General features: G+C 36.9%; 1 protein-coding gene across 1 annotated transcript in view, besides 1 other annotated feature; it reads right to left on the bottom strand.

Annotated features, from left to right (window-relative positions):
• The window catches only part of CFH (complement factor H), a 95462-nt gene that overhangs the window by 22911 nt on the left and 49812 nt on the right, over positions 1-22739 (bottom strand). Inside the window, exons 10-11 of the mRNA NM_000186.4 lie at positions 10677-10859; positions 8825-9001 (exon numbers count right to left, since the gene is read on the bottom strand). Coding sequence (NP_000177.2) covers positions 8825-9001; positions 10677-10859 — 360 coding nt within the window. The remainder of the gene's footprint in view (positions 1-8824; positions 9002-10676; positions 10860-22739) is intronic.
• Positions 945-994: an enhancer, noted in NCBI's record as "active region_2274". NCBI's record gives its function as "activates an Ori minimal core promoter by ATAC-STARR-seq in GM12878 lymphoblastoid cells {active_cell/tissue: GM12878}" and the evidence as "EXISTENCE:reporter gene assay evidence [ECO:0000049][PMID:35858748]".

Below are 22739 nucleotides of genomic sequence, written 5' to 3'. Positions count from 1 at the left end.
AAAGACAGAAGCAAGAGCCTGACAAAGGTTGACTAGGACCCTGTGGGACCTCATAGAAAGTGTAGGTAGGAGTCTTCTGGGCTCCCTGCAGCTCACCGTGTGGATCCAAGCCATCAGAGAGCTCTTCTGTCTTCGTGAACACACACACTGGTGTGAGTGGAGATTTGGGAACTTCTTGAGGGCATTACACCAAACTACTAGTTGAATAGGGTCATCTGCCTTCCCCTTGGGCCTGAGCTGCAGTGGTAGGTTTCATGCCTGCAGTGCACTCATGTGGGGACTGTTTCCTACCCAGGAACCTCAGCCCTCTGTCCCCATAACACCAGAGCCGCACAAATATTCCCTGTCACCTGCTTGGATGTGGCAGTCACCCATAGCTGGCTGGACCCAAAGGAGTTACAGCATTCCCAATAGTTTAACCACCAGGGAGGCTATTCCTAATGGAAAGTGCAACAAAGGAACACCCCTTGTGGCAAAGAAGACTGTAGCATTCACTTTCCTGTGTGCAAGAGCAACCTGCTTGTGGGCTGAAAATGACTACGCCACTTCCAGCAGACACGCAGACGCGGTGTTTGGCTCTGCAAGGGAGGAGTATAGATCCATCCCAGGAGCCCAATGGTCCCAGCGCTTGGGCACGGATGTAGAGAGGGGAACATGTCCCGTGGATCCAATTCTGTGTTCATAGCTGTGGTCACTCGCAAAGGAGACTGGTGTAGACACACCAGAGGACGGACATTGTAGGGGTATTAGGGGGTGGCTACAACTCCACTGGTCATGTGCCCAATGAAGCCAGGCTTGCAAGAAAGACAAGCTACGGGTATCTCCCCAGGGTCTTCCCCTGACACCCCTGTCAGGGCTGGTGCTTGTGCTCATCCTTGGAGCATCCAAGGGTGAGCTTAGTGGTACAGATCTATCCCGCTTTGTCCCCAGCTCCTCAGACCACTGTACCTTTCACAGATCAGTCCATTCCTTGGGGCAACAGAGAGTCTCCCATAAACAGTGACAAGCATAGGCTCATCTGCCTCTGCTGCAGCTGGCTCTTACCTGTCCGTGCCACCTACTGTCCTGAATGTTGAACTGCACAGCCCAGTGCAAAATGCTGACACTAGGGCATGATGCAGAACAAGGTTAGTTTTCTGCGTAGTCCTCCATACCAGCCCTTCAGGAGGCAGTAAGCCTCGTCATACACCCAGTACATAACTACTACAACCAGCAATTAAGAAAGCCATCATACAAAAGTTATCTCTAACCAAGGTACTCAAACAGAGTCTTTACCACTGAAAGAACCCAGAACCTAAACCAAATAGCCCTATACAACATACATCGTAGTCATATTCTCAAAGGGAAAAAAAAAATCCTGTCTGTTGGAAACTGGACTTAAAAATAAGAAGGGATAGTTCATCTGGATGAGAAGAAACCACTGAAACATTTCTGGAAGTATGATTTAAAACAGCGTATTACAACACTCGCAAAGGATCACACTAACTCTTCAGCAATAAGTCCTAACCAAAATAAAATCTTTGAAATACCAAAGAATTTAAAATATTTATTTTAAAGTAGCTAAATGGAGTCCAAGAGAAAGTTGAAAAGCAACACAAAGAAATTAGAAAAAAAACTCAGGATATGAATGAAAAATGTACTAAAAATATTTTTTAAAAAACAAATAGAACTTATGGAAATTAAAAATTCATTGAAGAATTACAAAATATAGTTGAAAGATTTAATTACAGATTACATCAAGCAGAAAAACTTGCTCTCAGAGCTTGAAGACAGGTCTTTCCAATTAACCCTGTCAGACAAAAATAAAGAGCAAATAACATTTTTTAATGAGCAAAGGTTTTGAGAAAAATGACGTTCTAAAAAATGAGAAAACTTAAGAGTTATAGATATTCTTGAGGGAGAAGAAAAAGCTAAAAAAACCTTTTTGAGGAAAATTTATCTCCTCTTGCCCTCTTGCTAGAGACATAGAAATCCTTATACAAGAGGCTCAGATAACACCAGGAAGATGCATTGCGAGATGAACTTCTACAAACATATAGTCATCAGGCTATCTAAAGTCAATGTGAACGGGAAAAATTATAAAATCAGCAAGAGAAAAGCATCTAATCAACTATAACGGAAATCTCGTAAGACTAACAGTGGACTTCTCAGCAGAAACTGTACAAGCCAGAAGATATTGGTGTCCTATTTTCAGGGTTCTTAAAGAAAGATTAGTTCATATTTATTGAAAAAACATATATTAGAGATATATTTTGTATTTTGCTAAACTAAACTTCATAAATGAAGAATATATAAAGTCTTTCCCAAACAAGCTAATACTAAGGAAGTTCATCACCACTAGAAATCCACTTTAGGAATTCACCCCACAAGAAATGATCCAGGGAGTCCTGAACATGGAAATAGATGGTCAATACTCACTATCATAAAGACATGCAAAAGTACAAAACTCACAGGTCTTATTAAAAAATTACACAGTTGGGACTACAAACCAGCTAGGTAACAACTAACATAATGACAAGAACAAAACCTCACATGACAATATTAACTTTTAACATAAATAGATTAAATGTTCCACTTAAAAGATATAGATTTGTGGACCAAATTTGGAAAACAGAAACCAACCACATGCTGCTCAAAAGAAACCCACCTAACTTAGAGAAACCTATACAAACTCATGGTAAAGGTATGGAGACAGATATTTTGAACAACAGAAACAAAAAGCATTTGGTATAGTTATATTTATATATAAAAAAAGATTTCAAATCAACAAGAAAAAAAAGACAAGAAGTTCATTACACAATGATAAAGGAAGCAAGAAGATATAACAATTCTAAATATATATGCACTCAAAACCTCAGCACTCAGATTCATAAATGAAATGCTACTAGAGCTAAGTAGAAAGATAAACAGCAATATAATGAGGGCAAGCAACCTCCACACCCCCAATGACTATACTAGACAGATTGCAGGGACAAAAAAATAAACAAAGAAACCTCATACTTAAATTGGACTGTAGAACAAATGGACCTAACAGACATTTTAACGACATTCCACCCAACAACCTCAGAATATATGTTTTTCTCACCTGTGCATGGAACATTCTCCAAAATAGACCATATGCTAGGCTACAGCTACAAAGCAAGTTCCCAAAATTTTAAAGGTTAGAAATAATATCAAGTATCTTATCAGAACTTGGTGAAATATAACTATAAATCAATATCATAAAGAATTTTCAAAACTATCCATATACATGAAAATTAAATGACCTGCTTCTGGGTGATTGTGAATTAAACTAAAAATTTTCTTCACAGCAAAGGAAATAATAAACAGAGTAAACAGACAACCTCAGAATGGAAGAAAATATTTGCAAACTATGAATCTGAAAAAGGGCTAATATCCAGAATCTGCAAAGAACTGAAACAACACAACAAGAAAAAAAAATAATAATCCCATGAAAAAGTGGACAAAGGATATGAAGAGATATTTTGCAAAAGAAGACATGAAAATGACCAAGAAATATGAAATAAAAACTCAATATCAGTAATCATCAGAGAAATGCGAATTAAAAAAATGAGTTATCATCTTACATTAGACACAGTGGCCACTGTCAAATAGTCAAAAAATAATAAATGTTGGTGACAGTGAGGAGAAAGAAGAATGCTTATACGCTGTTGGTGGGAATGTAAATTAGTACAACCTCTATGGAAAACAGAATGGACATTTCCCAAAGAACTAAAAACAGAACTACCATTTCACCCAGCAATCCCACTACTGTGTATCTACCCAAAGGAAATCAATTATCATATCAAAATGATACCCAGACTCATATGTTTATAGCCTCACTACTCACAGTAGCAATAATATGGAATCAAACTAATTGTCCACCAACAGATGATTGGATAAAGAATATGTGGTATAGATATATGCCATAGAATACTACTCAGCCAAAACAAAAAATAAAAAGAAAAAAAAAGAATAAAATCATGCCTTCAGAAGCAACATGTATAAAACTAAAGGCCATTATTTTAGGTAAAATAATTCAGATTCAGAAAGTAAAATCCCACATATTGTCACTTATAAGTGAGAGCTAAATAATGCGTACATATGGACAGAGAGTGCTGAGTAACAGACATTGGAGACTCAGAAATGTGGCAGGATAGCAGGAGGGTGAGGAATAAGAAATTACCTAATGGGTGCAATGTTCAGTATTTGGGTGATGAATACACTAAAAGTACAGACTTCACCACTATGCAATATATCCATGCAACAAAACTGCATTTGGACCATCTAAACATATAAAACATAGAAATTAAAATTTTAAAAATAAAAGAACACATCATAAAACACCATGGAAATATCTTAAGAAGTTAAATTTATAATAGAACTGGGGAGGATCCCGAGAATAATGATGGTATAATATCTGTCATTGCAGAGTCAATGATAACTTTATTTAACTGAAACTAAACAACCTCAAATGATTTCTGGTCTCATCATGTTTATAATTCTTGATGACTGACATATACATCACAAAAAGGTAAATTCTCATCAAAGATTTATTAGTGAAGATATATGCACTAAGAAATTAATTAAAATTGGTATTTTTGTTTAATGTAATCAAGGAAAAAGAACCCAAAATAGCATTTCTAATATATTTTAAGTTAAAAAAAATATAAAAAACACATAATTAATATATTACAAATAAAGAAAACAAACCAAGATAAATTTTCAAGTTCACATGGAAAGGCAAATTCTAGGTATCCTGAATATTTATGTTAACATATAACAATTTTTGTTATATGTACTATTTATATCAATGTTTAATAAATTTGATAATTATTCTGATTCAGATAAGAAATGTGTAAAATTATCTCTTACATGTTTATAATTTTTAAAAATCAGCAACATTACTAAATATTATCCAAAATATTATTTTTCTTATTCAGAATCCTCCTTTCTTGCTAACTTAGAAAAGTACAAGCTAGAATTCATAAATTAGAATCATACTAAAAAGAAAATTAATTACATCATAACCTCAATTATTAAAATACAATTACAAAATTAGATTTAAAACTATTCTTAAAAGTAATGTCACAAAATAATAACTACAAAAATTTGCTTTTGTGTTTGTTTTAATGAGTTTTGCAGATTATTTGAGAAAATCACACTTGAATGAGAATCACTGGGATTTCTCTCCTAAAAGTCTATACCAATCTTCTACATAGCAATTCTTTTTTTTGTATGTGTGTTTGTTCACGTATTTTGTGCTAATTTTATATAAATTCTGTCTGTTGTAATATTGTGAAAAGCATTATCTTAAAAAGGAAAGTTAAGATCTTGATTATTGGGTATTATTCAAATGCTGTATTTATATAGAGGTAATAACTTACAAAACGTGATTTAGAGAAGAATGTGAATGGACACTCCATGAATTAGAAATATTTTTCTTCATCTAAAACTCAAAACCCTAAGTCCTAGTACTAGATATGTGAAATGTTAATATGAATTTTTAACTCTGAGATACATACTCCTTATTTAGCTTAAGTGCTCCATAATAACAATTCTGTGGAAACCTTTCCACAAAGAAGAGACCTCCTAGGACACTTGAAATATACTCAGATGTCTGTCAATCCACATGCAGTTTTCTGTTACATGGCTGAGAGAAGAATATTTGAAAAGAATACTAAGCTGGTATTTCTTCGTTTAATGTTTGGAGGCCTGTACTATACTAGCAAATTCCTAGTTATGTGTTCAAATGATCCTAAGTCTTTGTACAATTTGCAATAGAAAGACATTTTCTACATCAGCTTCTACTGCTATGTCCGCCACTCCAACTTTCTCTCCTTTAGGTTTTCATTTCATGTCTGGTGATTGGAAAGACTACTGAAGCAATATATTCACAATTTTGTGTTCTTTTTTGAAGAAGACCCCTCAAAATTGTAAAAGCTTCTGGCTTCATAAAACCTAAATTTACCTATCATCACAGAAAAGAAATTTATGAGTCTCTTAAATTAAGCCTCCCCCTCTCAATTAGAGCAAAACTCAACCTCTTTATGATCCATGCCTACTCTTCCAATGTTATCAAATGTCTCTCTCCTCCACTAAATCCAGGATTCAGATTTTATGATCTTTGAATTTTATTAAAAAGGTCAAGTTCTTCGCTGCCTCAGCTGTTGCACATACCCTTCTCACTATAACAAATGGCTTTCAACCATTCTTTGCATCGATGACTTCCTATGTAAAACAGATCTCCAGTTCCTTCCCTCCTATTTTCTATCTCAATTATTGGATTTTCTATTTCTCTGTACACAGTGATACATAAAATATATTTTAAATATTTTTATTACTTGGATATTTGGCTTATCTCTTTTTAGTTTTCCACTGTCTTATATTAGAATAAAATCTCTGGATAAGTAGACCTGTGCTTGTGTTTTCACCATTTTCTCCTGTCCTATGATAGGTGTTTACAACAGCAGGAATGAGTCAAATTTAACTGGACCTTTGACACTGCCTTTCATCTACAATGTACTCATTCTCTTTCTCAGCTGTGACTATTTCAAAACTTTTCTATTCTACCTAGTACTCTTCCTCCTCCTTCGCCCACACACTATTCAATCTCAGATGACCATGTCTCATACTTCAAAACAGAATCCATCAGCTTCTACCATTTTCCAACGTTACTGCTCATTTTCCTTCCCATCTCCTGTCACAAAGTTGTAAGCAGTCCTGTTGCCACCTGTCACAAGGTTGTAAGCAGTCCTGTTGCCACCAAAGCACAATACCTCCACAGTAGCTGTGAGTCCTTTCCCCTCGCATTTTCTCAGGGCAACTATGTAAGTCATGTGTTCAGCCTTTGCAGCTCCCCTTTTGCTGTATCTGCTCTGGTGTCTTCCATCTTTTTTCTTTTAATTATCCCTTCAGTGCACAACTTTCCTCAAGCAATATTCTGATCTTCCTATTAGATTCAAAGCCAGAATCTTGAAAGAGTTATGTCTACAGTCTGTATTGAATGTCTAGCTCATTATTTTTATTGGCAGATTCTATGTAGGGTCTGTCTCTTCTACTCTATTAAAATCCATTTTTGTTACACTTGTCATTGGCCTGTACCTTACCTAATCCATCACAATTTCTGAACAGAATATAATAACTAAATTAGAAATATTTATCACTTTGATAATGATATTAAGGTAATTAAATTACAACTTCTTTGACTTTATTATATAAGGCACTATGGCAATAAATATTTATAAATATTTTAGTCTGCTAACTAACACAATCCTTTGAAATATTAGAACTGTTTGTAAATATGTGACATTTTACCAACAAGAAAGAGTCAACAAAGCTTCAAATAGACTTGCTGTGTTGGCCAAAGATACATGCCCAGCAAGCAGTGGAATTAGAATTCAGACAGGATGACTTATTAAGCAATCTGTTACACTACCTTTTCATTAATAATTTCCTTATTTTTATGTCTATGGCAACATTCTAGATTTTTTCTCCTGTTTCTCTGGGTCCTCCTTTTTTCCCCATTTTCTTTACTATCTATTGCTCTTCTGTCTTATATATAAATGTGGTAATGTTTCAGGGCTTCATCTTGAGCTCTTTGCTCTTTTCATTCTGTATTCTTATCCAATTTAGCGTCATCATTTATATGATGATATTCCGAAATGCATATCTCCTCTCTAGATGCATATCCAACTCCACACTTCACATATCCAGTTTTGATTTTCCATTGGCGACTCAATCATAATGTGTCCAAGTCAAAAGTTGCAAAGCCCTCTCAAAATGCATTCTATCCAGTCAGTACCATTTTACAAAATGGTTATTGCCATTTACCTACATACTTGTGAGAAAACAATTGAAAACAAACATGTGAGTCCCTTAATCTCACTCTTTTTCACACCCAACATTTAGTAACATCACCTGTACTTTTCATCACCTAAATGTTTTCCAAATCAGCCTTCTGCTCTGCACCTCCCCTATCATCACTCTCTCTCAGTCCCCACACTTTCTCACCCTACCTGGACTCATGGTGTCGCCTCTTGCCTACAAAAAGTACAGCATCCAGGAAAACAATCCAACAAAACTAGAAATCAAATTATACCATTCCTTTTCTTAAAACTCTTTTATGGGTTTTCATTAGTCATAAAATGAATCCAAATGATATGATGCCTTGAGCTGATCTGGATAATTGTTTCCTTGCCTCCCATCTAGCCTCAGCAGGATAGACTCTGCTTTACCACCTTGAAATATATTGTTTTGTTTTTACAGCTTTGCACATATTTTTCTTTGCCTTGGAACACTCTGCATATACTTGTTTTCCCACAGAGCCAATCCTTCTTCTAACCCTGAAAAATAGATGGCTGATTGAGAAACGTAAATGAGATTCATGTAATGGTCTTCAGAACTTTTCAAATTTAGAAAATAAAGAACTACACTCAGAAAGTACAGAAATTAACACACAAGATAGAAGATGTAAAGTAGAAATTAAAAAAACAAATTAGCTGAGGAAGTTGTAACCAACTATAATTTTGGTAATAAGTGCTAGGTTCTAAATAATTTGAAAGCTTTTATTTAGGGTAACAAAAGCAATTATATTATAATCACAAATCTGGAAGGTAGGTGGCCCATAGGAAGTATTAATTTAATGCACTACTTTAGAGATATTTTCAAAACTCCCTTCTTTTCCCAGTTTATGTCAAATCAGGAGATATCTTGATTTTAATCAACATTCCTTAACAATTCCTCTATATAATTCAAATTTTTAAAATTGGAAAACAGATTTATTTTCATTTTGAAAATGAATTTCTGAAAAACCAGTACTTACCATAACATATGGGTAAATCAGACCAACCATTGTAACCACACACTATGGAACCAGTGGTGCTTCCAGTATTGCTTTCATAACCATCATGGCATTCATAGTCCAATGTGTCATTCAGCTTAAACCATGTGAAGTCATTTTTAGTTCTGGCATTCATAAATACTGGGATATCACAAGATTCTAGTGCATAAAAAATTTAGAATGTCATTTCTAATGTCATCTAATAAACAATCTGAGTATTTCCCATTCTAAGAAGAAAAAGCTTTATTGATTAGATCTACTAATAAATAGGTACCGTACAAAAATAATCTATGACTGGTGAGAATTTGTTGTCGTAAAATAGTTGTCAAAAGTGAAAGTATATCTTTCTACACAACATTTTTTTTCATTGCTTAAGCCCCAAAATATATTTTAAAAACATTTTTCTTAATTCATTTATACTAAAGCATTTATGACAATGCTAGTAATAAAACAGGCCATTACAGGTATACATTATTTTTTAAAGAAAATCATAACAGAATTTTGTAAATTAAGAGTCCAAACTAATTCGTAGTTGAGACATATGTAAAAAGGAGAAAAAGACTGAAAATATAAATTCCTATGTTATACAAGACATTTTCTCTTTAATAATAAGAAAATCTTAAAAGAATAATTAATAAAAATTTAGTATAAAATTAGCTTTTTTATGAGGACTAACATTTTTTGTAAACTAGACCTCATATTAAGCACAGACATTAAAAAATGAAAACAGTATACATGAATACCTTATTCACTTCACTTAACATGAGTATATTAAATATTACTTCAAATATATTACTGAGAGGCAGGAGGATCATTTGAGATTAAGAGTTCGAGACCAGCCTGGCTAACATGGCAAAACCCTGTCTCTATTAAAAATACGAAAATTAGGCAGGCATGATGGAGGGTGCCTGTAATCCCAGCTATTCAGGAGGCTGAGGTAGGAGAATTGCTTGAAAACGGAAAATGGAGGTTGCAGTGAGCCAAGATCATGCCACTGCACTCCAGCCTGGCCGACGACAGAGCAAGACTCCATCTCTCTCTCTCTCTCTCTCTCTCTCTCTCTCTCTCTCTCTCTCTCTCTCTATATATATATATATATATATATATATATATATACATATATACGTATACACACACACACACACACACACACATATTACTGAGTGGTTTTGCAAAAAATAAGACAAATTGAACCAATTGTTCCCAGAAAATTTTCATAAATATCTAGATAGTGTGGTAGGGAAATCTTCATAAATATCTAGATAGTGTGGTAGGGAAATCATACAACAGAGCAGAAATTGGTACCATCTAGGAATATTTTGTCTCTCTACTACCTAAATATTTATGAAAAATTTCTAAGAGGGAAGATATTCAGTATTAGACATATCCTACAGTGTCAAATCTACAAATTATAGAGTTTAAATTATTTTGATGTTATGCACTAGGCATCCATATCTTCAATAAAAACATTGCTTTTGTATCTAGGAGTAAAGAATTTGATGTAAAAGTCTAATCTTATAAAACAGATATATATTAACAGTCATAAAGGTCTCAGCTAAAGCAAAATCAGTTTAAACCAGAATACACATAAAGCTCCCTAACTTGTTTCTGTAACACAGAATGCTTTAGAGTAGGAAAAGCCTGAATGGAAAGACAGACTAATATCTGAGTAATTAATGTGAAAAGGAAAAAAAATTGATGTCTGCTTTGTTCCTGCAGGTTTTTTTTTCTTATCTTTTCAAATGAAATTATATCAGCCCCCACAAAAAGACTAAAGTTAGTAAACTTTTGTGTATCATCTGGATAATCAATACAAACATAATAAATTACTTACTAATGCACGTGGGTTGAGCTGACCATCCATCTTTCCCACATGTAATTGATCCTGATGTTTCACCATCTGCTGTTACATATCCTAGTTTGCATTGATATTTCGCTTTTTCTTTTAAGGCATATGTATACTGAGATTCAGAAATAAACCCATTCTCAATATCTATACTTGATTTGGAACATGTTTCTAAAAGGGAAGAGAATAAGAAAAAGACAAGCATATGATCAATAACATTTTATAAGAATTTAAGTAATATGTAAATATAAAAAATAATGAGTCATTTGTAACTGAAAACCTGGATAACCATAAGCATTCAAATACTTAAGTCAAGGAAAATAAGCTCAGAGTTGCCAAAGACATTACATCAAGACTCTTCATCACTTTTTAAAACAAGGCTCTATTTAAGACACTTACAATTATTTCTAAGAAATTATTGGAAATCTGTTTGTCTAATGGATTTGGAATTCTACAGCATGTCAGAACTCAATAGACAATGAGTATTATTTCTTAGGACTTTTTAATCTTGCCTATTGTAGATCTTCTGGCAATTCCAAATCTCATTTAGCCAATTGGAGTATCTGAGATCCTGTGATGATCTTAGAAAATCTGCCAAAATAATTTTCATAGCCTTTGGCTCCAAGAATTTGAAATGTCATTCTTATTGTGTGCTTCAAAGTAAATGGACATGTGGAGTTCAAAGAAGACGAGGAACAGTAACAGATTTATTTATCTTGAAAGGCCAAAATGATGATTCCTCAAATTATGTAGAACTTAACTTGAAAGAGTGGAAGTTACTGTTTCTGTTAACTGATGATAGAAATTACTGTCGGTTACATGCACATGTATGTTTATTGCGGCATTATTCACAATAGCAAAGACTTGGAACCAACCCAAATGTTCAACAATGATAGACTGGATTAAGAAAATGTGGCACATATACACCATGGAATACTATGCAGCCATAAAAAATGAGGAGTTCATGTCCTTTGTAGGGACATGGATGAAATTGGAAATCATCATTCTCAGTAAACTATCGCAAGGACAAAAAACCAAACACCACATGTTCTCACTCATAGATGGGAACTGAACAATGAGAACACGTGGACACAGGAAGGGGAACATCACACTGTGGGGACTGCTGTGGGGTGGGGGGAGGGGGGAGGGATAGCATTAGGAGATATACGTAATGCTAAATGACGAGTTAATGGGTGCAGCACACCAGCATGGCACATGTATACATATGTAACTAACCTGCACATTGTGCACATGTACCCTAAAACTTAAAGTATAATAATAATAATAATAATAATAACCCAAAAAAAGAAATTACTGTCGTTTACTAGGTTGCTTCCCAGAACTCAGCTTCATTTTTAAATAACTCATGGATAAGGAGAAAATCAGAAGAGGAAACATTAAATATTTTGAATTGAATGATAATAAAAACATATTAAATTAAACTTGGTGAGATGACACTCGAACAATCCTCAGAGGGAAATTTATCATTATATAGCTATAAAAGAAAAGAATAAAAACTGAAAATAAATTATTATTTATAATAAATTATAACAAAGAAACCAGACAAAATCCAGCATGAGTATAAATTTTGAAACAAATCCAAATATGAGAAGAAACCAAATAGAAAACAATCAGTACAGACAATTTAAAAAGGTAAAAGACCAGGCAAGAATAATCAAGTAAAACAGAGTTCTTGCCACAAATAAGGAAATGGAACAAAATAGATGAAAATAACATTTTCAGACATTGGAAAGCAGGAAGCACCTAATTCCAGAGAAAAAGTGACAATGAGATGAGTTCCATCATCAAAGTGACTTTATGCTGGGAGAAATTTTCCAAACAGCAGCATGGAGAAGGAGAATTCAGCAGAAAGTGCCACACTTGCTGAGTAGAAGAAACAAAACTCAGTGTTCCCAAAGAAGATGAGTTCACTAGAATCTGCAGGAAACAGAGTGAGAAAAGAAGAAACTATGGAGTGAAAGGGCTCTACAAATTTCCACAGCAACTCCCTAGATTATTTGGCTGAATATTGACACTCTGGAGAGTAGAGCAAAACTCCCCAAGAATGGACAAAGGATACCTATCAGATGAAGAACACTACCAGAGAACAAAAAGGTAAAGGATTCCCAGAGCACACACACAACACAGGGAGACATTTAAATGGAATCAATCAGAGTAGAAAGACTCGTTTGAACATCTAGGTCACGTAGTAGAGACATCAGAAGCAGCTTAATATTCTGAACAAACTATCTCTGGGGTTTTTTAAGCTTTTTAAAAGCTTAAAAATAAGCCTTGAAAGAACTAAGTTGACCCAAAACAAACCTAAACTTAAAAAAAAATTAAAACAAGTAATCCTTGGGGTCTCACAGATGTACAGACTTGAGAAGTTCCAAAGCTGCTTCTCTTAGCCAAAATACAGAATGGAGTTAAAAAAAAATCCACATTTTGGTAATAATACCCTCTTCACACCTCCCTCCAAAAATCACAGTAAATCTTTTATGGAATACTCACCCTACTCCAGCCAAACACTGATTGATATACTATATATCAAAAGTTGTGGAATGGCACTAGAGCAGTATGAAATAAATTGGTGTCACTAAATACCTGGGATAGAAAATGACGGTGTTCCACTTCAATAACCTTAGCCTCTACCATTAGATATTAGTAAAAGTAGAAAAAATTAATCTCAAAGTAAGCAGAAGAAATACTACAATAAAGATCAGAGATGAAATAATAAAGAAGTAAATATGTATATAAACAAGGAAACCAAAAGCTTGTTATTTTAGATCTCTATAATTGAGAAACCTTTAGACAGACTAAATCAGAAAAAATAACACAAATTGCTTATAACAGCAATGACAGAAATGACATCATTATGGTTTTTACATATATTAAAAGAAAAATAAAAAATATTCTGAATAATGCCATGTCAATAAATTCAAGAACTTGAATGAATTAAAAAATTACTGAAGCCACAAACTATCATGGCTCTCTCAAGAAGGATTAGGTAGCATTAATAAATTCTGTCTATTAAACAAATTGAATTTTTCGTTGATGGATGAAATACAAAATATTTAGTTATAAATCTAGTAAAATACAGGATCTGTATGCTTAAAATAAAAAAAACTAGGGTAAGACTGTATGATCTTACTAAATCAAAGGATATATAATATTCATGGATTGAAAAATTTAATACTATTACATATCAGTTCTCCCCAGATTCATCTGTGAATGTGTCCCAGTTCTAGTGAATAACCAAGCACAATGTTTTGCACATACGAACATGCTGATTCTAAAGTCATATGGAAAGGTAAAGGGGCTAAAACAGCTAAACAATTCTTCAAAAGATAAGAGAAGTTGAAAAACTCACATTACCAAATTTTAAGACTTAAAAAAAGCTACAGTGAGTAAAGGATCTCATGATACTGGTTAAAGGACAAACACGTGGAAGAATAGAAGAGAAAACGGTGTCCAGAAATAGACTCACATGCATGGATCGATCCTATAAATAGCTTCTATTCTATTTTGTTATAAGACTATCAGGTTCACATGCCCACTGTTTAGCAATAGACCAATACGCTGAGACAGTAGGGTTTGCAGCAAAGAAAGGCTTTAATCAACACAAGGGCACCAAACAAGGAATTGGGAGGATTCTCAAGCCCCAGATCTGTTCTGAGAAGGGGCTATGTGCAAGAGACCTTAAGGGGATCATGGAGGGTGACGGGCTAGAAAATTTGGGTTGTCAATTGGTCAGGGTAAGGGGGATGAAGTCACCAGGATGTGGAACCTGCATTATTTCCTGAGTCAGCTTTTTGCTGGGCTCTTTAGACCAGCTGATGTGTGTGTCTGTGTGTCTGTGTGTGTATGTTTGTGTGTGTGTGTGTGTTTTGTTTTTGAGCAAGATGATCTTGCTCTGTTGCCCATCTGGATTTCAGTAGCGTGATCACAGCTCACTGCAACTTCTGCCTCCCAGGCTCAAGTGGTCCTCCCACCTCAGATCTCCTGAGCAGCTGGTACTACAGACCTGTGCCATAATGCCCGGCTAATTTTTTAATTTTTTGTGAAAATGAGGTTTTGCCTTGTTGACCAGTATGTTGCTAGGTTTTTTTTTCATATGCAGAACCTAAAGGAGAAACTCATGCAGAAAGATTATCATCTCACAATGTCTTAGATTTTATCTATAGAAAGGAAAAGGACCAAAATGTCTTGTGACAAGGGCTTCTTTATCCTAGGGTAGTAATCAATGACCAGCTACAGAGAAGTTGGACAAATGGAAAGCTGATTTAGTGATTACTGCTGATTTTCCTGAAATCATAGTTGAATTTTTCCCCCTTAATCAATTTTATATAACTTTCCTAGGGACAGTTTCAGTTCCTTCCGGGCTTGATCCCTTCTCAATTCTGAGGTGTAAAAGCTAATATGGTATGAATCGGGCAATGGCCATTCTAGCTTCTTTTTGCTGACACGGGGCACAGAGAGAGAGTCAGGATTAGAGGAATGAAACCGTCTTGTAACAACCTGCAAGCTGTTATACCCAGCTTAGGGTGCTGGATGAACATGTTAGTACTTCAGTCTATGGTTTTATTGTAATATTTAATTGAATCATGTAAATTATAATCCCTATAAACAGAATTGTGAGCTTGAACTTCAAGAGTCCTTGAAAAATGGACTGGAAAACATGGAGTATGCAGGCGGAAAGCTCAAAAAACTATTCAGACATAGGGTCTGTGGTAGAGACATATGGTCTCCAGCGAGACTGCTGAAATATTTTCTTTAGTTTGGTTTTTATTTTACCAGAAGCATTGATATAAGTACAACAGGTGGTATTGATCACTGTACAGACTCCTCTCTGTAAAGCCAAGAGAAAATCAAGTGTAGTTCCGTTGTCAAGAACTATCTGGGCAAGTAAATTTGAAGAGTTTTCTCAGCCTCAATGTTCTTAGCAGCCTCTTTTGCAATTATTTCTGTGGTTGCCAATAAGTTTCTGATCATGTCCCAGTGAGTGTATACTCCATAGCTAGGACTCGTGATGCCTAGAAGGCTCTGCCACCAGATATATTGATATATGCCTGGCAGTCCCTTTTGGAGTCGGTGGGAAAATGGGCAGAATATTTTGTCATTAGGATGGACTGAGAAGTATCTCAGTAAGTGAGAGCCCTTAATATACAGGTTATTGAGACACCAGTGGGCTTGCCCTAACAGAGGAGGGTCTGATCCTATGCCACAAATAAACATGTACCAAGGGGGCACACAGGTAAAGCCCTCAAGGGTGCATTTATTGATGGATTTTTTCATGGGGAATATAGACAAATGGAATTGAACTAGGGATCTTTTTTTACAGGCTCCCCAGAATTTGTGTGATATTCCCCACTGTAAATATTTTTGGCATAGTAAGGAGAAACTTTTAGTTTTATTTCCCTTCTCCTAGCTGCGTTTGTCTGCCCAGTATGCCATGGGCCATGGAGGGCCTATGTAATGGAATGACTTTCCATTTATGATAGGCAGAGAGAGATTGACACATGGGGTGGTGATTTCTTGGTGTACTATTACTTGGACCTGGAAAGTAGCCATGGAAAGAAGCTGGTGCAGATAGGTAGTCATATTTGGAACATCCAGAAAGTCAGTGACAAGTATGACTAACAGAAAATGCTTATTTTGAATAGTTTGGGGGAGTTACTGACAGATCCATCATTCTGGTAAGTTTCTTCCAGTGGCAATACCTTGAAACAGTTGAACTACAGTGTTGCTATGCCTGTCTAGGCACTGTAGTAACAGGAGAGGTATAATTAGAAGTTTTAAAACAAGAGTGACCATTTCTAAATTTTAGAATGTCCACATAATGAGTGGCATGAGACTATGTTAGCATGGCATAGAATGTCTAGAAAATCTATAAGTCTAACAATTGTATTGACCAAGGCAATTATGAAGTAATGTCTATAAGGGTAGCAATTGTAATTATCTAGGCAATTATAATGACCAAGTAAATATATGGCTTAAGCATTCAGTAAGGCAGGGAATAGACAGGAAGGTATCTCACCTTTTTATATAAAATAATTATAATAACAAACATTCCTGTTATGCTCAAAGTAACTATTGTAGTTGTCAAGAAGACATATGTTTTGTCTAATTTCATTAAAGTTACTTATCTGATATTTTTCCTCAAAAGATATTTGAGGCCCATCAAAGATTTACTTATCCATTCAGATAGGGTTGAGACAGTCTCTGAAGTTGAAGTGGCCTCTCTACATTTCTTGATAGGACAAGAATCTGGCGGGGCGGGTTTTATATGGCTGTGGTGAATCCAGGGTCTAAGTCCTTCAAGCTGAACAGAGGAATGGGTCACCAGTCATGCTTTGCATGGCCTCTTTCACTGTGTTTTAAGTGGTCCCCAGGATGTCGACTTTTCCTGGTCTTGAGCAGAACCCAGTCTCTGGGTTGGATGGGATGAAAGAGAATGTCAGTTGGATACCACAATCTGCTGGAACCACAAACTCGTGAATAGTAGTTAAAGTACAACCTAAAGATTGTGTATATTTGATAATATCTAATTTATTTATGTGTATGTTATTGGCATTCCTTAGTCTGAGAAGGTAACGGAAGAATGATCTCCCATGTAAAATTTTTAAAGGGCTTAATTTAAGCCCACTTTTAGGGACCACCCTTACTCTGAGCAGGGCAATGGACAGAATGTTATTCCAGGTTGTTAGTTTCTTGGCAAATCTTAGCTAAAATTTGTTTTGTTTTATATAGTATGATTTATCTTTTGAGTTTTTTCAGTAGACTTCAGTCTGCAGGCTGTATGAAGATTCCAGATTATGCTGAGGGCCTGGAATATATGGTGTCCTAGGCTACAGAAATTGCACTATGGTCACACTGGATGGAGACAGGCCACCTAAACCTGAGGGTAATCTTCTCTACCAAGGCTCTCATTAGCTCAGACATTCTCTTGGTCTTGCAGCGGAATGATTTTGTTTATCTTGAAAATGTATCTAAAAATACAAGCAAGTATTTAAAATTTCCTGCTACCCTTGGCATCACGGTAAAATCAATTTGCCAGTCCTCTAATAGCCCTGCACCTCTTGCTTGAATCCTTGGTACTGGGGGTGGAGGACCAGTCTTAAGATTGTTCTGGGCACCAAGTAGGTATTTTTAAATTATTTTTTGGATAGTCTTCTTTAAGTGTGTCCCAAAGACATAGTCCTGGATCAATTGAAGGGTGGCATGCCTGCCATACTGTGTGGTATCATGTATGTGTTTGATGATATCTGTCACAAGATACTTGGGCACCAGAACCTTTTCTTCCGTGTCACATATCCACTCATTTTGAGTTCTTTGATTGGAGTCAAAGTCTCAATCGAATTCTCTCTTTACATCTTCTTCCATTAGGTAGGGATTTTAGGCTGAAGTTTATTTCAGGGATTAATGGCATTAGGAAGGCTTTGGGCATTTTTTTCTCTGTTCACCTCTTTAGTGGCCTGCTCTGCCTAGTGATTTTTTTTTTCTTGCTACCAAATTGTCCATCCACTGATGTCCATGGTAGTGTATTATAGCTACTTTCTTGGGTACCAAGACTGCCTTTAGTCAGGCTAAGATTTCTTTAGCATGCTTAATTGTTTTTCTTTTTTAATCATCAAAGGTTAAGAGCCCGCTTTCTTTCCAAACGGCCCCATGAGCATGGACAACAATAAAAACATACCTGGAATCAGAGTAATCGGTGACTCAGGAGTCTTTACCTAGTTGGGATGCCCTGATTAGGACTCTAAGTTCTGCCTTCTGTGCCGATGAACCCAGAGGGAGTGTCTCTGCATCTAGGATCTGTCACAGGGTTACAATAGCATACTCAGCCTTCTGTTGTCCGTGGTGCATAAAGCTGCTTTCCTCAGTGAATATTTTTAAGTCCAGGTTTTTAAAGGGAATTTTGGTCATGTCTGGTTGAATAGAACACACTTGCTCAGTAATTTATATGCAATCATGTATAGGTTTATTTAGCAGGATTTAAAGCAGAAACAGCTCTCAAAGTAACACTAGGATTATCCAGGAGGATGACCTGATACCTATTCAGTCTTCTAGAGGTAAGTCAGTAGCTCCACTTCTGTTCCAACAAATAGCATACACAGTATGGGGTGTGTACAGTGCTAGGTTAACCCAAAGTGAACTCTTCTGCCTCCTGGAGAAGATCACAAGTGGTGCCAGTGGCTCAGAGATAAGAAGTCCAACCCATCATAACAATGTCCAGCTGTTTTGAAAAGTAGGCTACAGGCCTCATGATATTCCCCAAGTCTTGGGTTACTACTCCTAAACCCATCCCTTCTCTCTCATGTATGAACAAATCAAATGGCTTTCTTAGTTCAGGGGGTCTCAGTAGCCAGATCCATTAGTAATTTTTACTTAATGGTTAGAAAGGCCTTTTGACATTCCTTGTCCATTCTAGAAGTCAAGTGTCTGGTCTTAGGGCTTCATAGAGACATTTTGCTATAAGCCCAAAATAAGAAAATGAAATATGGCAACATTCAGCCATACCTAAAAACCCCTCACAGCTGCTGCCATGTCCTGAGTCTGGCCACCCTGACAAGAGCTTCTCTCCAGTCCGAAAGCAGATTACTCTGCTCCTGAGAAAATTCAAACCTAAAATATATAATTGAGTTTTTCAATATTTGTGATTTTTTTCTTGGATACTTTGGATCCCCATCCAGACAAAAAAAAAATGTAAAGCCAGTATAATATTCTGGTCAATTTGCCATAGTTGTGCTGGCTTCTAATATGCCGTCAACATATATAAGCAAAGTCTCATTTTTCAATTGGAGGTCCCAAAACTCCTTAGCATGTATTTCCCCCGGACGGTTAGTGAGTTTTTGAAGCCTTGATGGAGCATCATCCAGCAATACTATCATTTAGCTTTAGTGTCAGAGTCTTCCTATTCAAAGGCAAACACTTCATGGGACTCTGGACTCAGGGGAATACAGATGAAGGCATCCTTCAGATTCAAGACTGAACACCAGTACAACTCACTGGTTAAAGTCATGAATAATGTATAAGCATCAGTTATCACCAGATAAATGGCTTTGAAAATTTGCCTAGTAGCCCTCAAATCCTGTACAAACCAATAATCCTCAGTTCCATGTTTTTGTCCTGGCAAGACAGGTATGTTACATGAGAAACAAGGAATTCTTCCTGTATTGCAGGAAGGCCATTAGCAGAGGCTAAATGCATTGCTGTGCCTTTTCTCTCAAAGGGCGCTGCTTTAGATTTGGCAGCGCCACTCCTGCACAAAACTTGACTTGTACTGGAGATGCAGTTTTTGTTTTCCCTGGCCTCCCATCTGCCCATGTTTCCGGACTAACCTTTTGGAGTATCTCTTCAGGGGTGCAGGCACTTTCAAGGATCTCCAGTTGTAATAATATGGCCTGCAGAGCACATGCTTGGTCTGAAGGCACCTGGATGTCCAATCATCTCAGAGAAAAAGTAATCTTAGCATTTAGTTTGGTTAAGAGTACTGCCCTAACAGGACGGGAGCAGTGGCTCACACCTGTAATCCCAGCTCCCAGCACTTTGGGAGGCCAAGGAGGGCAGATTACCTCATGTCAGGAGTTTAAGACGAGCCAGGCAAACATGGTGAAACCCTGTCTCTACTAAAAATATAAAAATTAGCTGGCTGTGGTGGCACACGCCTGTAATCCCAGCTACTCGGGAGGCTGAGACAGGAAAATTGCTTTAGCTCGTGAGGTGGAGGTTTCAGTGAGCCAGAGGTTGCAGTGAGCCACAATCGTGCCACCACAGTCCAGCCTGGGCGATAGGGCAAGACTCTGTCTCAAAACAAAACAAAACAAAACAACAACAAAAAAGGAAGACTTTCCCCAACAAAGGGATAGGACATTCAAGGATGTATAGAAAAACTCTGTCTTTTTTTTTTTTTTTTTTTTTTTGACAGAGTCTTGCTCTGTCCCCCAGGCTGGAGTGCAGTGGCATGATCTTGGCTCACTTGCAAGCTCTGCCTCCCCGATTCACGCCGTTCTTCTGCCTCAGCCTCCCGAGTAGCTGGGACTACAGGTGCCCACCACCATGCCCGACTAATTTTTTGTATTTTTAGCAGAGACGGGGTTTCACTGTGTTAGCCAGGATGGTCTCGATCTCCTGACCTTGTGATCTGCCCATCTCAGCCTCCCAAGGTGCTGGCATTACAGGAGTGAGCCACCGCGCCCAGCAAAAAACTGTGCTTTAAATGATCTTACTCTAGCTGACAATCCAAAATTTGGAGGAATGATCTCATCAGCATTTTTTCTGAGATTTCAGTCACCTTCATTATTTCTGAGGAAAGTTTAGACCACCAGATATTTAACACCAAATAGATGGCACCATGTCTACTAGAAAGTCCAGAAGCTGATTTCTCACCATCATCAGGATCTCAAGCCCCATGTGGGAAATATGGAGGGTGTTGTCTGGGTCAGGAGAAGCCCCTGGGTGCTACCATTTCTGGTCTTTTTCTTTAGTATCTCTCTCAAGCTCCCCAGCTATCCCAGGCATTTGGTGGGCAGAAGGCTGACTGTTTAACATCAGGCTTTGTAGGGCATGAGAAATTTTCCACTCAGTGTCCCCCCTGTTGCAGTAAGCACACTGGTTGGGACCTGCAATGGGATGTCCGTTTTTATTGGCCTTTGGGGGCCCAGGTGGTTCTACCATAGATGGAGTGTCTGATGACGGCCCTTGTTGTGGTCCAGGGACTACTAGGGTCAGAGCCACAGATAACAAGTCAGCTTGCCATTTTCATTATTCCTTGTGTTTTATTTTCCACTCTTTAAACTTGTGATCAGTAAATACATTAAAAACAATCTTCACTAATTGAGACAAAAACATGTCCAATGCCTCAGCTACGTTTTGTAACTTTCTCTGAATATCTGGGGCACTTTGTTGGATAAACATCATGTTAGCTATCATCAAATTTTCTGGGGCTTCTGGGTCAATATCCATTTATTCTCTGAAAGCTTCAAAGACTTGTTCTAAGAATTCCAAAGCAACCCTCATTAGGCTTCTGCTTGACCATCCTGGACCTTACTGAGACTCCTTTGCTTGGGCACTCCCTTGCAGAGGCTGATCAAAATGCAGTTTTGATAGTGTTCAAGGTTAGATCTATCTCCAGTGTTTATATTCCATCCCAGGTCAGAGGTGGGAACTGCAATCTGAGCAGCTGCCCTTACTGGATTACTGGGAGAGTCAGTGTGAATAAGATCAGCCTTTTCCTTAGCTTTTTCTAAAACCATTCTTTGTTTCTCTGAAGTCAACAAAATATTGAGCAAATTGGGGGTGCCTGCTCAGGTAGGGTTCTGTGTGGCAAATACAGAGGAGAATAGATTCTTCATATGCTTTGGATGTTTTTTTTTTTTTTTTCAATCCTGTTCCTTCCATAAACTTTAGATCTTCTCAATAAATAGGCATATTATTTTTCTAATTAAGTAGGTTGGAAGTGGAGAACAGAGAATAAACCAAGATAAATCCTATAGGCTGGCCTGTGGCAGCAACACCTCCTGTAAGCAGTTGTTATGGGGAAACTGCCTCTCAGAACCAGAGTGACTCCCCGGCTAAATGGAGTTCCCTGTTGGGTATAAGAAGTGACACCCTGCCTAAATGGAGTCCCCTGTTGGGTTATAAGAAGTAGAGATCATACCTGTTGCCCCGGATTTGTGACTTTTTGGTGGTGGGGACTCTGGAGAGGCGCCAGTAGTGCTGCTGCAGCTCCCCCATAAAGTGGAGGGGGGTGAGTCATAGGTTCCTTTAACTGAACCATCATAGCATCATCTTTTTCTTGTAAATCAGTCCAAACAGTCTTTAATTTCTTACTTTATCATGATTTTACCTTTTTCTACATTGTTGTACTTTTCCAAAGCAACATAAAACATTATACATAGGGTATTTCATCTCATTCCTCTTCCTTCTTACAAAACAAATCTAGCTACAGGATCGTACTGTAAGCATGAGAACCATGCAGTGGCCACTGTTCTCCGAAATCCAGTGGGTATTAAGGTTAAGCCATGTTAAAAAGTAAGATAATCTTTTTTT

The sequence above is a fragment of the Homo sapiens genome, chromosome 1 (genome assembly GCF_000001405.40).
Source record: "Homo sapiens chromosome 1, GRCh38.p14 Primary Assembly".
Classification (NCBI taxonomy): Eukaryota; Metazoa; Chordata; class Mammalia; order Primates; family Hominidae; genus Homo; species Homo sapiens.
This window is presented reverse-complemented; position numbering and strand designations above follow the sequence as displayed.